Consider the following 16,396-nt stretch of genomic DNA (forward strand, 5'->3'; position numbering starts at 1 on the left):
GTTTGAAACTGTTTTATTTTTCTGTCTCTCTGACTTTATGAAGAAAATAACCCAAGATGTTTTGTCCAATACTTAAAAAAATAGCCCAGAACACAGTCCAGGATTAAATACCTCATGAATAACAAATATCCCTAGAAAGCCCTAGAGGTCTGACTTTTTTTTAGAATCTGGTAACTTAAGACTTCCATAGTTTTTCCCCTAGCGTAAGTAGTATTATTCACTGATCCTAAAACCCATAACTTTCTTGCCTTTGTGCTTTGTCTTCCATATAAACATAGCTTTTCCTCCTTTTGCTATAACGCCAAATGAGCTGTTTTGATCCAATGAAAATATTATTTCTTATGCAGTCTTCTGTAAGTGTCTAATTAAGAAGACACTCCCTCTTCTCCAAAACATCCATAGTATTTTTTAACCTAATAGAGCATCGCATTTTAATTCATTTTAACCTTTACGATAATTTTTTTTAATGCCTTTTTTTTGAGACAGTGTCTCGCTTTTTCACCCAGGCTAGAGTGCAGTGGTGCCATCTCACCTCACCACAACCTCAAACTCTCGAGCTCAAGGAATCCTTCCACCTCAGCCTCCCAACCACAGGCGCATGGCACCATGCGGAGCTAATTTTTTTTTGTTTTTTTTTGGAGAGACAGGGTTTCGCTATGTTGCCCAAGCTGGTCTTGGAACTCCTGCGGTCAAGTGATCCACCCACCTCGGCCTCCCAAAAGTGTTGGGATTACAGGCGTGAGCCACCACGCCCAGCCTCTTTGCCTTATTATGCAGACCGGTCCATACGTTTTTTGAAATCAGAGGCTATAATATATAAATACTCTCCACAATATTAAGAACATTATCTTAAACTAATCACTCAATAAATGTCCATTTGAATGAGTCAGTGAATGAACAAATGTTTAATGATCTTTTTGTGGTAAGTACACAATTAAAAACTTTTACCACTTATTATTTGAGATAGAAAACACATTTTTGAATAAAGCAAGAGCTTTAAATATTTGAATAAATAGAAAATAACTAAAGAAAAGAACAAGGTCATTTTCTGGTGCCTAAAGAAAAATTGAGAGTGTTGGAGGTGTTCAAACAAGAGTGACTCCGGCTCCCCTCCCCTCTCCCCTCTCCCCTCTCTCCTCCCCTTTCCATGGTCTCCCTCTCATGCCGAGCCAAAGCTGGACTGTGCCGCTGCCATCTCGGCTCACTGCAACCTCCCTGCCTGATTCTCCTGCCTCAGCCTGCCGAGTGCCTGCGATTGCAGGCGCGCGCCGCCACGCCTGACTGGTTTTCGTATTTTTTTGGTGGAGACGGGGTTTCGCTGTGTTGGCTGGGCTGGTCTCCAGCTCCTAACCGCGAGTGATCCACCAGCCTCGGCATTCTGAGGTGCCGGGATTGCAGATGGAGTCTCGTTAACTCAGTGCTCAATGGTGCCCAGGCTGGAGTGCAGTGGCGTGATCTCGGCTCGCTACAACCTCCACCTCCCAGCCGCCTGCCTTGGCCCCCCAAAGTGCAGAGATTGCAGCCTCTGCCCGGCCGCCACCCCGTCTGGGAAGTGAGGAGCGTCTCTGCCTGGCCGCCCACCGTCTGGGATGTGAGGAGCCCCTCTGCCTGGCTGCCCAGTCTGGAAAGTGAGGAGCGTCTCTGCCCGGCCGCCATCCCACCTGGGAAGTGAGCAGCGCCTCTTCCCGGCCGCCATCCCATCTAGGAAGTGAGGAACGTCTCTGCCCGGCCGCCCATCGTCTGAGATGTGGGGAGCGCCTCTACCCCGCCGCCCCGTCTGGGATGTGAGGAGCACCTCGGCCCGGCCGCGACCCCGTCTGGGAGGTGAGGAGCGTCTCTGCCCGGCCGCCCCGTCTGAGAAGTGAGGAGACCCTCTGCCCGGCTGCCACCCCGTCTGGGAAGTGAGGAGCGTCTCCGCCCGGCAGCCACCCCGCCCGGGAGGGAGGTGGGGGGTCAGCCCCCGCCAGGCCAGCCGCCCCATCCGGGAGGGAGGTGGGGGGTCAGCCCCCCGCCCGGCCAGCCGCCCCGTCCGGGAGGGAGGTAGGGGGGTCAGCCCCCTGCCCGGCCAGCCGCCCCATCCGGGAGGGAGGTTGGGGGGTCAGCCCCCCGCCCGGCCAGCCGCCCCGTACAGGAGGTGAGGGTCGCCTCTGCCCGGCCGCCCCTACTGGGAAGTGAGGAGCCCCTCTGCCCGGCCAGCCGCCCCGTCCGGGAGGGAGGTGGGGGGGGGGGTCAGCCGCCCCGTCCGGGAGGGAGGTGGGGGAGTCAGCCCCCCGCCCGGCCAGCCGCCCCGTCTGGGAGGTGAGGGGCGCCTCTGCCCGGCTGCCCCTACTGGGAAGTGAGGAGCCCCTCTGCCCGGCCACCACCCCGTCTGGGAGGAGGTACCCAACAGCTCATTGAGAACGGGCCATGATGACGATGGCGGTTTTGTGGAATAGAAAAGGGGGCAAGGTGGGGAAAAGATTGAGAAATCGGATGGTTGCTGTGTCTGTGTAGAAAGTAGTAGACATGGGAGACTTTTCATTTTGTTCTGTACTAAGAAAAATTCTTCTGCCTTGGGATCCTGTTGATCTATGACCTTACCCCCAACCCTGTGCTCTCTGAAACATGTGCTGTGTCCACTCAGGGTTAAATGGATTAAGGGTGGTGCAAGATGTGCTTTGTTAAACAGATGCTTGAAGGCAGCATACTCGTTGAGAGTCATCACCACTCCCCAATCTCAAGTACCAGGGACACAAACACTCTGCCTAGGAAAACCAGAGACCTTTGTTCACTTGTTTGTCTGCTGACCTTCCCTCCGCTGTTGTCCTATGACCCTGCCAAATCCCCCTCTGCGAGAAACACCCAAGAATGATCAATAAAAAAAAAATAAAATAAAGAAAAGAACAATACCCAAGATTGGAATTCAGTATCAAAAATGAGTCAAATTTTACAGATTATTAAGGTAAAATATAAATAAAATATACTTGAAATCTGTAGATTATTAAGGTAAAATATAAAAATAAACTAGACTTGAAATTGTATACTGGAGTTAGCCATAATCTCTACAATTTATTCTAACTATTCAAAACCTAATTACATGCTTAATGCTACTACTGTTTTATGGCTCCTTAGTGCTGTGGTTACAAACAAAAACAGGACTTACTAATATTTATGGCTAGAGCATTATATTTCTTTTTTTTTCTTAACTGGAAATGACCGTTTCAATCAATCATCACAAGTCATTTGAAAAAGCAATGTACTAAGGATATAACCTTTGGTTATCTCAAAGAGTTTACTCAAAGTTAGACTCAGCATCTTCCTACCCTTCTCTCCCATATGTCTTAGCACTCCCTAACCCAAGCCCAGCACAAGAGGATGTAAGAAAAACCAAGGTGCTAAAATCAAGGGCTGACCATACAGGTACTAGTCACAATAGTCCAGAGGTGGAAGCAATCCAAATGTCTATGAATGGATGAATGAATAAAATGTGATATACAGATACAATGGAGTATTATTCAGCCTTTAAAAATAAAGAAATTCTGGCACCTGCTAAGTATACCTGGAGGACATTATGCTGAGTGAAATAAGCCTATCACAAAATGACAAATACTGTATGATTTCATTTATATGACATAATGTGGCACAATAAAAATTAAATATTTGGTCCTTCTCCCAAAGACTTTTTTTGTTCCAAATCCTTAGAATTTCCAGAGCAGTAAGAGTGTCTTTTGTATGCTAACAAGATGACTCCTGGCTGGGGCCTCTAGATTGCCTCAGGATAAGGGCTGACAGCCCAAAAAACCACAAGGCAGGAGGCTAGAACTTCTTTGGGGATTGGGGTAGGATGTCTCTTAATATTTTGCCCAGACTGGGTTTGAACTTGCAATCCTCTTGCCTCAGCCTCCCAAATAGCTGGGAATACAGGGCTGGGAGTACTGTTGGGCACCACCATGCCCAGCAAGGGCTGGAACTTTCAGCTCCATCCAGCTCACCCCACCCCCAACCCTCCAGGGAGAGGAGAGGGGCTAAAGGTTCATGCACCCATCACCAATGGCCAATGATTTAATCATTCATACCTATGTGATGAGGCCTTCATAAAAACCCCAAATGATGGGGTTTTAAGAGTTTCCAGGCTGGTGAACACGTGGAGTTGCTGGGAGGGAGGCAGACCTAGATAGGAGACAGAAGCTCCACACCCCTTCTGCACACCTTGCCCGATCCATCTCTTCCATTTGGCTGTTTCTGAGTTATATCCCTTATAATGAACTAGTAATTATAAGTAAAGCATTTTCCTAAGTTCTCTGAGGCATTTTAGCAAATTATGGAACCTGACGAGGAGAGTCGGAGGAATCCCCAGTCTGCAGCCTAGTCAGAAGCGTGAGTAACCTGGGGACCCAATACCTATAGAACTGGCATCAGAAATGGGGGTAGCCTTGTGGTACTGAGCCCTTACACTTGTGGTATTAGATGATTACGCCAGGTAGTTGGTGTCCGAATTGAACTGAACTGTAGGAACCTAGTTGGTGACCAAAGAGGTGGAGAATTCGTTGGTGTGAGGAAAAAGCCCATACATTTGGTATAGTAAGTATTGTGGGAAAGAACAGTTCATTGGTATCTAAACTGTGTGTTAAATTCATAGAACCAGAAAGCAGAACAGTGGTTACCAGTGGCAAGCGGCAGGAGGAAGAGAGGAGTTGTTTAATTAATTTCGCATTCGAAAGATGAAAAGGTCCTGGGGATCATTTTCTAAACAATGTCAATATACTTAACACACTTAACACGAGTGAACTGTATACTTAGAATTGGTTACGATTATTAATTTCATGTTATGTTTTGTACCACTATTTTTTTAATCAAGAACCAATTAAAGAACAGAAGAAATATGTCTATAAAGGTCTCAGTTTTTCATATTTAGTTTTCTTCCTCACAATAAAAACTTACCATTGGTGGGATAACAGCAGCTCGATGCTGAAGCTGTGGCAGATCCAGTGGATTTGGTTTTAACGGAGATGAGACGAGTATAGATCCAGTGGGGTTTAACAGTGAAGGCTTTGAGTCCATAGGAAACATTCTGCAATTGCAATTTAAAAAAAAGATAAATGAATACATTTTTAAGACTCAAACATATAATCACTATAAGTTCTTCTAAGTTAGTATGTACATACACATGCACACATGGACACATGGACACACATATATTAACCCATATAAAATATTTGGACAGTTAAGGAAAAAGGAACCTACAAAGCTGATTTTCCAGATAAAGAAACTGAATATCGTACTCACTTCAGCAGCGCACATACTAAAATTGAAATGATACAAAGATTACCATGGCCCCTGTGCAAGAAAAACATGCAAATTTGCAAAGCATTTTATATTAGAAAGAAAAGAAAAAAGAAACCTAATACTGACTTACAGGTTGAAATTTATCTGTATTGTCTATATCTAACCAACAAAACAATCTAAACGAAGTCCATTTAAAACTGTTCAGTCCTAATTTACCACAAATATCCTAACATGGGTTAAAAACTAGTTACCTGTTAGAGGATGTTTTATTGGGATCACAGAGTATTTTTTTAAATATTTGAATAAGCTGCTGTGATTTTTAAACTGAAAATTTCATCCAAAATTCCAGACCTCTGGCTTCTCATGAAAAATGGAAAGAACCAACAACATGAAATCAGCACTCCCCAACAGCAGCGACCTGCCATGCATCCAGCAGCCGCCACCCCGCTCACATGAGCACACACTCCTCTGCTCACCATAGTCCCTGCCATCTCACACTCCACCGGCTGATGTTGCCCATACCTACACTCAAGTTTAGGATGCCCAATATATAAACTTGAGGAAATTTTGTACTAGTGTCATGCTTTATGGGCCTGGTCATATTTCCCAGTGTTGTCATGGTCACTGGGGGAAGGTGAACATTTAAAAATGTAGAAATTGGTAAGAAAATCAGAATGTATTTAAAAAAACAATTCACATACTATATAAAGAAAGATTATATTAAAGCTATAGGAAATTGAAAGTGTTATTTCGGTCATTTGGGAGCAGTGTAGACTTTAGTGTGTCATTAAGAAACCATCATATTTTTCCAAGGAATTTCTGAATTTCAAAACTACTATCATGTTCATCTCTTAGGATGTTTACCATTTAAAATTACTGCCATCCTACCTAATTTTTCCTTCACGTATAGTTACCAAAACCAACAGTGCAAAACACAGATAATCCTTATTTAGATGAGATGTTTCAATAAGGAATGCTTAAAAAGGGACTACACAGCTTGAATCCATTTATGTTTACTGCAGTTAAAGACTGACACCATTAAAATAAAATCTAGATTACTCTGAGGTGAAAGAAAAAGAGTGATAGTCAAATTTTCTGGTAAACCAACACTTAAGCAGAACACCTATTTTATTTCAATTCATGCTGATGAAAATTCTAGCATCTACTATATAAAACACTCTGAGGAATCAGCACTATAATGCTCCATATTATTATTCTAGTATCAAATCTCATTATGGAGTACATAAGATATAAAATATATTGGATATGAACTGAAAATACAGTGACACCAAGACACACTCTGAAAGATAAACTTTGAAGAGAATTTAGCTATCTGTTGAGTAGCTTGTCTCTTTATTCTTATTAAAAAGAAAAAAAAGGAGTGGGGTTTAATTGGGTTCGGATTAAGTGATGTTTCAGTCTAATTCACTTCTAGAATTTGCACCAATTTATCATTCTACTAAAATTATAAGTGATTCAATGTCTTTTAAGGAAAAGGAAACACCAGGAAATAAAATATATTAAATAAAGTAATAACTGTACCTGTAAAATATATATCTTTTACTGTAATTTTTACAAAAACCATAAAGATATGATACATTTTTTGTATAATTAATTAACCTTTAATGACTAAAGCTACCTGTAAACTGCAGGGAGCGGTGGCTCATGCCTGTAATTCCAGCACTTTGGGAGGCTGAGATGGGTGGATCACCTGAGGTCAGGAGTTTGAGACCAGCCTGGCCAACACGGCAAAACCCCATCTCTACTAAAAATACAAAAATTAGCCAAGCATGGTGGCGTGTGCCTGTAGTCCCAGCTACTCAGAAGGCTGAGGCAGGAGAATCACGTGAACTCAAGAGGTGGAGGATGCAGTGACCCGAGATCGTGTCATTGCACTCCAGCCTGGGGAAGAACGAGACTCCGTCTCAAAAAAAGAAAAAAAACTTGTAAATTAATCTGCATTATACCTGATATTTTAAATTACAAATATGAACAATCTAAAATGTTAACTGATACAAAAAAGTGGTCATAATTATCATTACTTTGCATTTAAATTATGCTTTCTAAAAATTTTCAGAACACTGAACATGTCTCTCTTTTCAGCATTTTCTTCTACCTAATAAGTAGGGGCTGGTAGGCCTTGTTTTGAGGTTGCACTGCCTTAGAGAAGCGGGAGTGCCTCAATGCCTCTAGCCTCCACCTTCTTCTACCACATCCCACTGCTGCCCTCCTCAGGCACAACAGTTATCTGTGGTTTATTCACAACTTTATTAGTTGAAATTCCCTGTTATGCTATCATACAGAATACACGTAACAAGACAGATATAGGAGAAATGTATAATCTGTTTCATTAAAATGATCATACAATAGTTTGTGGTTATTTAAACAGAACAGTATCAGCCCAATATTAAAATTGTACAGACTACCTATAACGTGCCAATATTTACATAGGAGACATGTCTGCAGCCAGCACCACCCTGTGATTCAGTCACCAACCAGCAGAGTAAGCACGGGGAGGACTTATGGAACGAGCCTCACCTCTGCCTCTCTGGCTCTCCATCCACATCCTCATCAGCGCTGCACGTGGCACTGGAATCATTGTCTGACTGGGGCTCGGGCCTTTGGGCATTTATTTGCTGAGCTACCACCAAATCTTCATCTCTAGGTTCCACCTTCTCACTGGCTCTATCCAAGTCTCTTTCTTTGGTATTATCACCTTCAACTTTAGATGCATGGTTTTCTGGCACCCTCACTTCAACGTCCACAGAGTCAGCTTTGGTAGCGGGTGGGGGATCACAAACAGAACCCTCTTCAGCACTGTGCTCCTGCTGATCTACATCCATCTGCTCTGCTGTCTCAGCACTGATGCTGTCATTCACCTGGGTCTCCACACTTTCATCTTCAGCTGGTTTTGTACTTGGAACTGCTAAGGAGGGAGATGTACTGGGTGCAGTTTCCGTGGTGGGCTCAAGCTCAACCGCAGGTTCTGTGTTTCCTCGAGAAGTAGCATTTTCAGGACTGTCCTCGCTGGGCTTGACAGCTTCAACTGGTGAAGGAGAAGGAGCACTTTCTGTATCAGAACTATTTTCTGCACCTTAAAGATAATGATACAGCATAAAAATCTGATAATGAACATGTTTCAGGTGGTGATAGAAACCATGTTTGAAAGTAGTTGTTTAGGATGAATTCTACTCCTTTGATGACCTCATTGAAGTATTTACAGCCATTGAGAAGGCTAAAGTTTCCTACAGAGTATAAAAGTGAAAGATCAAATTATCTTGACCTTCTGAAACTAAAAGCATAAAGGATTTTAATGTCTGAAAATAATTTATATGAAATTGAAAAAGAACGAACAATAAAACTAAACAAAAAACATTCCTATAAATGATGACATTCTGGTGTATTTCTAGAAGCCTCTTCCTGTGAATTTCCTTTTACCCAGCTGAACTGACACTCTAGAACGGCTCCATCCAATAGACATATAATGTAATCACATCTGTAATTTTAATTTTTCTGATGGTCACATTAAAAAAGTAAGAAGAAATTGGTCAAATAATTTAAACTTTTTTTTTAATTTTTAATTTTTTGGAGATGGGGTTTTGCTCTTGTTACCCAGGCTGGAGTGCAATGGTGCGATCTCGGCTCACTGCAACCTCCGCCTCCTGGGTTCAAGCGATTCTCCTGCCTCAGCCTCCCAAGTAGCTGGATTTACAGGTGTGTGCCACCATGCCTAGCTAATTTTGTAGAATTTATTTAATTAACCCAGTATATGTGAAATATCATTTTAACATGTGATCAATAGCAAAAAATCATAAGATTATTTTTCCTTTTTTTGGGTACTAAATCTTCAAAATCTGGTGTGCATTTTACATTTTCTGCATATCTAATTTTTTTTTTTTGGAGGCAGAGTCTCGCTCTGTCACCCAGGCTGGACTGCAGTGGTGCTTTCTTGGCTCACTGCAGCCTCCGCCTCCCAGGTTCCAGCGATTCTTGTGCCTCAGCCTCCTGAGTAGCTGGGATTATAGGTGCCTGGCACCATGCCCGGCTAATTTTTGTATTTTTAGTAGAGATGGGGTTTCACCATGTTGCCCAGGCTGGTCTTGAACTCCTGACGTCAGGTGATCCGCCTGCCTTGGCCTCCCAAAGTGCTGGGATTACAGACATAGGCCACCGCACCCAGCCTGCATATCTAAATTTAAACTAGCCAAATTTCAAGTGCTCAATAGCCACAAGTGTCTAGCGGCTACCACACTGGACAGAAGGCTGTAGAATACTATTTCACAGATTTTTAATTTAATGTTGTAACAGATCTTTCCCCATATCGTTTATATTGTTCTATAATCGTTTATATTGTTCTATAAATAGACTTTCAGTGCTTTTTGACATCTTTACCTAGATATATCAAAGGCAGCACAAATTCAGTATGTCCTGTACTAGAGTTGTAATAACCACTCGCAAATCAGATTCTTTTCTAGGGTTTACTATCCAATTAAACAAAACAGAGACCAAGAAGTCATCTTTTAAACCCTCTTCTCATTTACCCCATATCCAGCCTTGACAAGGCTCACTGATTTTCTCTCTAAAAATTTCTCTTGAATCTATCCAATCCTGTTCAACTTCACAGCTAGCACTCTAGTCCAAAACCAACTCTCTTCACTCCACTTCAGACCATTCTTTACAACAAAGATAGAGTTGTCTTTTTAAAAGCCAGATTTTACCACAATAACTCACTCTCTCACTCTCATAACTTTTCAGTGGACCCCCATTACTATTAGGATAAAGTCCCAAAATTGCTGGTATGATCTGCAAGGCCTTGCCCAGTGGGCCCCCTCCAGCCTCTCCAGCTTGCACACAGCTCTCTGAATTCAAGTCACACTGGCCTTTATTTAGTTTGTTCAATGCCTCATGCATCTTCTACCACAGAGACTTTGTACATGCCATTCACCTTTACTGAAAGGCTCTTTCACCTACTTTTCCTTTGGTGATCAACTCAAACATCACATGCTTAAAAAGCCTTCTATGGGCTGGGCGCACTGGCTCACGCCTGTAATCCCAGCACTTTGGGAGGCCGAGGTGGATGGATCACCTGAGGTGAGGAGTTTGAGACCATCCTGACCGACATAGTGAAACCCCGTCTCTACTAAAAATACAAAATTAGCCACATGTGGCATGCCTGTGCTCCCAGCTACTTGGGAGGCTGAAGTAGGAGAATCGCTTGAATCCGGGAAGTGGAGGTTGTGGTGAGCCGAGATCATGCCAGCCTGGGCAACAAGAGTGAAACTCTGTACCCCCACCCCCCCAAAAAAGCCTTCCATGGTTTCCTTAACAAAGTTATATTTTGCTAATATAGTTCTGATACCACATGTACTAGTTACAGTTACAATCTTACATTTATTTACTAGAATGATTTCTGGCTATTTCTTCCACTAGGCTATAAACTCCATGAAGACAGAGATCATTTATTTTGATTATCACTTAAGTACTAGCCTGGTACACAGTAGACTCAAATACTGGCTGGATTATAAAGTACATGAATGGTTGTGAAAACCTAAGTAACCGTCTGGGAAAAAAAAATATTTTTTAATTGTATATAATAGACAGCAATATAAAAAAAACTTCTACAAATTCATCCTTTCAAATATGATGAAGTGTCAACTATGTATGTGCAGGGAGCTGTCTGAGGTACCACGGACACAGCAATTTAAGAAAACCTAAGCAGATGCTCTCATGGAGCCCATATTCTAGCGTGAAATAGACAACAGTAAATATGTGATATAGGCTGAGAGTGGTGGCTCACGCCTATAATCCCAGCACTTTGGGAAGTTAAGGCAGGAAGAATGCCTGAGGCCAGGAGTTCAAGACCAGCTTGGGCCACATAGTAAGACCTCATCTCTACAAAAAAATTAAAAAATTAGCTAGTCATGGTGGCGTACACCAGTAATCCCAGCTATTGGGAGGCTGAGGCAAGAGAATCACTTGAGCCCAAGAGGTCAAGGCTTGCAGTGAGCTGTGTTCACGCTGGTACACTTCAGCGCTGGGTTAACAGAGTGAGACCCTGTCTCAAAAAAACAAAAGAAGTGATATATCAGGTGGTGATCAGTGCAGTGACTAAACGACAAAACTGAGAAAGAAGTGGGTGAGGAGGTATTATAGAAAAAAGTGATATCTGAACAGAGGACTCAAGGAAATGAGAGAATGAGCCCTAGGCACATGGTGGGGAAGAGCATCCCAGGTAGAGGGATTAGAAAGCACAAAGGCTCCTGAAGTCGGGGTTGGTTTGCCCAGGAACAGCAAAGAGGACAGTGTGGTTGGAGCAGAGGGGGCCAACAAAAAAGCAGCTGGCAGAAAGTTCACAGAGGTACAAAGGTCAGTTCATGCAGAGCCTCATAAATTGCAGTAAGGCCTTGGGTCTTTATTTTTACTGAGATGGGAAAGTATTACAGAATTTGGACTAGAGAAGAAACATGATTTGATTCACATTTTGGAAGAATTACTTGGGCTGCTGTGGAAGAAAAAACAGAATGGACCTTGTCTCTACACAAAATAAAAAAGTACATTAGTCAGGTGTGGTGGTACACGCCTATGGTCCCAGATACTTGGGGGGATGAGGTGGGAAAATCGCTTGAGCCTGGGAGTTTGAGGCTGCAGTGAGCCACGATCGAGCCACTGCACTCCAGCCTAGGTGACACAGCGAGACCTCATCTCTAAAAATAAATAAAAAGAATGGAACAAAAAGAAGCAAGAGACTAATCAAAAAACTACTGCAATGAGGGCTCCTCAGAAGCAGGGTAGGAGCAATGGAGACAAGGATCCAATTCTAAAGAGACTAAAGAAAACCTAATTTATTGATATAGTGAAAGACCAGAGGGAAAAGCAGCTTGTGGTGGTAGAGACACATGAGTTTGCTTTGGCTGTTAACAACAAGATGGCTCTTAGGCATCCAAATGGAAATACTGTAGGTGATCAAATATATGAGCCTGGAGTTCACATGAGAGTTCAAGTCTCCAAAAAACAAACAAACAAACAAACAAACAAACAAAGACAGACAAGCAAATAATTCAGAAGAGTACCTCACATGTAGTAAGGTTTTAATATATGGCAGCCATGGCCAGGCGCGGTGGCTCATGCCTGTAATCCCAGCACTTTGGAAGGCCAAGGCAGGCGGAACACCTGAGGTCAGGAGTTCGAGACAAGCCTGACCAACGTAGCGAAACCCCATCTCTACTAAAAGTACAAAAATTAGCTGGGCGTGGTGGCAAGTGCCTATAATCCCAGCTACTCGGGAGGCTGAGGCAGGGGAATTGCTTGAACCCGGGAAGCAGAGGTTACAGTGAGCTGAGATTGCAACACTGCACTCCAGCCTGGGCAACAAGCGCGAGACTCCATCTCTAAAACAAACAAACAAACCAACAAACAAAAACGGCAGCCATTATCATTACTGAAAGATCCTACCAAAGCATTGAAAAGCTAACAAAAAGCCCAACTTAACCTTCATTTCTGTTTATATAGTGGTAGAAAGCCCCAAATCCAAGGGCAAACTAACAAGGCATTTATCTTCAAAATATTAGAAGACATGTTAGTGGTTATACAGCAGATGATATCATTTGACATAAGCACTTTTCCAATTTTCTTCTTCCAAGCCACAAAAGAGTAGGAAGGTTTCCAAGGCATAATGTTTCACCAAGCAGTAGCCAAACATGAGTATCTTTTTTTTTCCTAAAAATACAAAAAAAAACCTTAAAGAATGATGTAGAAAAAGAGAACAAGAGCAAATCCAAATTTTGGTGAAGTTTGGTCTGATTTAATTCTTCTAATCATGAAAGATACTCAAACACTCAGATGTGTTTTAGGAAAACAGATAGAGGAACCCTCCCTTCAGCAGCTGCCTTCGTTCTTCAATTGGCAAGAGACTTGCCACACAATAAACAGTGCATCTGTGCTGTCTCATTGAGATTAGGAATAAGTATGAGATCACAGGTCACATGAGCTGCATTTATGTTCTCTTCTTGACACTTTCCAAATGAAGCTAAGTCAACAGGAAGAGAGAGCCTACAATTCTACTGGGAAAATCATTTCCTCTTAATAGGAAACTCTTCTAGATGATTGAGCAGATGTGATGGTGCCACCCTACACTTGATCAGACATATATATATATATATATATATATATATATTTTTTTTTTTTTTTTTTTTTTTTTTTTTGAGACAGTCTCGCTCTGTCGCCCAGGCTGGAGTGCAGTGGCGTGATCTCAGCTCACTGCAAGCTCCGCCTCCCAGGTTCACACCATTCTCCTGCCTCAGCCTCCCGAGTAGCTGGGACTACAGGCGCCCGCCACCATGCCCGGCTAACTTTTTTTTGTATTTTTAGTAGAGACGGGGTTTCACCGTGTTAGCCAGGATGGTCTCAATCTCCTGACATCGTGTTCCGCCCTCCTGGGCCTCCCCAAGTGTTGGGGTTACAGGCATGAGCCACTGCGCCCGGCCCAGATAGACATATTAATACCAGACTTGGGCTTTGTTATGGACTGCATTGTGCCCCTCCCCACCAAAATTCTTCTGTTGGAGCCCTACCCCCCAATGTAACTGTATTTGAAGACGAGGCCTTTAAGGAGATGACTAAGGTTAAATGAGATTATAACAGTGGGCTCTAATCCAGTAGGAGTTGTCTTCATATGAGGAAGAGACACCAGGAGTGCGCACACCCAAAGGAAAGGCCATGTAAGGACAAAGTAACAAGGCGGTTAGCCATCTGCAAGCCACAAAGACAGCCCTCATCAGAAAGCAACTGTGCCAGCACCTTGACCTTGCACGTACAGCCTCCAGAACCGTGAGAAAATTAATTTCAGTTGCTGCAGCCACCCAATCTGTGGTATTTTGTTATGGCAGCCCAAGGAGATTTATTAACCTCCAGCCTTCATTAACATTTATAACCCCAGGGAATACTAGCCACCAGAAACAAACCCATTAAAACCAAGAGACTCTGACAACCTCTCTAGAAGTGCCATTAACACACCAAACTACCTTCCCTGTTTGCAGCACTCTTACCCTACCCTCGGGTGGGACTTCTCTAATACTCTCTCTACTCTTGTAAAGATGACCTCATTTTTCACAAACCCTCCCAAAAACAAGTTTAAGGTTAGGGGTTGTTCAAAGCCAAAACCCATTTCAATACAAGTTTAAGTTTAAAAGACAACAAGAATAATCTATAGGAAAAAAAAAACATGGAATCTAATATTACTAAACCTGGAGGATGTACAACTTTTAAAGCTTATACAAAATAAAGACCCTACACAGAAAAGAGATACAACTCTAATTACACAAACTTTAAACAAAAGTAATTGAAAAGGAAAACAAAAAGAAAATGATGGAAAAAATTATCTGCATATACAAAACATGAACATGTTTAATTTATAATATATGAAGAGCTACTAAAAGCATTATAAAAATCCCCACATCAGAAGCAATTTCCAAAAAAAAAAAAAAAAAATCCACAGAAACTTTAATCAGAGTGTAAACTGAAATAAATTAGGTATCTTTTTTCTTACCAAAAAAATCAAGAAAACATTTACCTTTCCATGAACTTGTCATTAGTTTAAATGACAAAGATACATTATTTCTTAAATTTCCTTAAGTTTCGTGTTTTTTTTTTCTATCGGTGCTTCTAAGGTCACTAATTCTTTTTACGTAAAAACATTACTACAGTACATATAAATCTCTGTAAAAATATGAAAATAAATCAAACTTAAGCCAATAAAATAAAGAGAAATGTAACCAACTATACTAACTGAACAAATAAATGTGGCAATGACACAGACACACAGGTATTTTATTGATGTTGGCACTTGATGTCTGAAGCAGGACTGCCATTTCCAAGATCTTCTGGACCATCCTAGGTGCTACATAAATATTTGTTGATTAAATGAATAAAAACATTATGTTCAAGTTTGAAGTCTCCACACCATGAAAACACTGGCACACTGTTTCCTCAATGAAGCAACTCCTACACAGTCAAATGACTAAAAATTATTTATTCTGGATAGCAGATGTCACAACTAAATTTAAAATTTTGAGATACCTTCGCTGTCTTCTGGATTTTCTTCTTCATTGGAGGCTTCAATATCTTCATCCTCCTGAGCAGAAACAGTGGAAGCGACACTTTCACATTGAGACACATCTCGCTCTTCACGAGGTTTTCGTGAAGTCTAAAGGAGGAAAGAGTATTATTTGATTTAAATAACTAAAAAGAAAAAAAAATTCATTTCTGAAATAATGTAGAACATTGATAAGCACACACACACACCAGACAAGGAGGTCACATGTTTGACAATAGTTCTGGTTAAAGTGCAGATAAATACCTCTCCATAATCACTAACTGGCCAAATTTTGTGTAGATGGCTCGCCTTTATCAAACTAAGCAAAAGTTACATCTGATCCACTTTTGGAATTACTCACCACTATACATGTATAAAAAGCCAAAAATCACATACCTCCATGCTTTTTACTCACTCCAGATAATGTTATCTAATAAAAACAATATATATATATTTTTTCTAAAGATAATATATACCTTGAAATGTGGAAGACATAACACTACAAAAATCACTGCTCATTATTCCAACAGTAAGAGATCCTAAATATACCGGTACATTTCCTTTCAATCTTTCAGAGGCATATACATGAATATAAATATTTATGTATACATGTAAACACAACCAGGAAAGCCCTATGTAATTACATATTCACTTTTTTAACATAATGTAGCCATGAGCAGAACATATCACTGTTACAAATTCTTCCTAATTATTGTTATTAATGATCCCATGAAAACATTATGTTGACATAATACTGACATATATTATGTTGACATATAATTAAAATTCTCCTATTTTAAGGCATTTTGGTAATTTTCAATTTTTGGTATAAATAATGCTGCAAGAAACTTCCTTCACTAGCATTAAGAATCACGCAATTTTATAAGCAACAACTCATCATTGATATTACTACTGAATTTCTTTTTACCACTCAATTTATTTTTCTTTTTTGAGACAGAATCTTGCTCTGTCACCCAGGCTGGAGTGCAGTGGCAGGATCTCAGCTCACTGGAACCTCCACCTCCTGGGTTCAAGCAATTC

At 41.5% G+C, this 16,396-nt stretch overlaps 1 protein-coding gene and 1 pseudogene across 53 annotated transcripts in view, besides 1 other annotated feature; one reads left to right on the forward strand and one right to left on the reverse strand.

Annotated features, from left to right (window-relative positions):
• Positions 1 to 16,396, reverse strand: part of NCOR1 (nuclear receptor corepressor 1) — a 186,378-nt gene that overhangs the window by 64,290 nt on the left and 105,692 nt on the right. For 43 of the 53 annotated variants that reach the window (XM_011524086.4, NM_001439115.1, NM_001439111.1 and 40 more), the window contains 3 exons: positions 15,340 to 15,466; positions 7,804 to 8,359; positions 4,921 to 5,050 (listed from right to left, as the gene is read on the reverse strand). In XM_011524086.4, coding sequence (XP_011522388.1) covers positions 4,921 to 5,050; positions 7,804 to 8,359; positions 15,340 to 15,466 — 813 coding nt within the window. The remainder of the gene's footprint in view (positions 1 to 4,920; positions 5,051 to 7,803; positions 8,360 to 15,339; positions 15,467 to 16,396) is intronic. The other 10 variants (NM_006311.4, XM_047437141.1, NM_001439116.1 and 7 more) reach the window with 1 other exon arrangement.
• Positions 1,256 to 2,110: an enhancer, noted in NCBI's record as "H3K27ac hESC enhancer chr17:15998016-15998870 (GRCh37/hg19 assembly coordinates)". NCBI's record gives its function as "activates a minimal SCP1, AML or CMV promoter by ChIP-STARR-seq in naive H9 embryonic stem cells {active_cell/tissue: H9 hESC(naive)}" and the evidence as "EXISTENCE:reporter gene assay evidence [ECO:0000049][PMID:30033119]".
• Positions 5,258 to 5,361, forward strand: RNU6-314P (RNA, U6 small nuclear 314, pseudogene; annotated as a pseudogene).

This window comes from Homo sapiens, chromosome 17, assembly GCF_000001405.40.
Source record: "Homo sapiens chromosome 17, GRCh38.p14 Primary Assembly".
NCBI classification, from domain to species: Eukaryota; Metazoa; Chordata; class Mammalia; order Primates; family Hominidae; genus Homo; species Homo sapiens.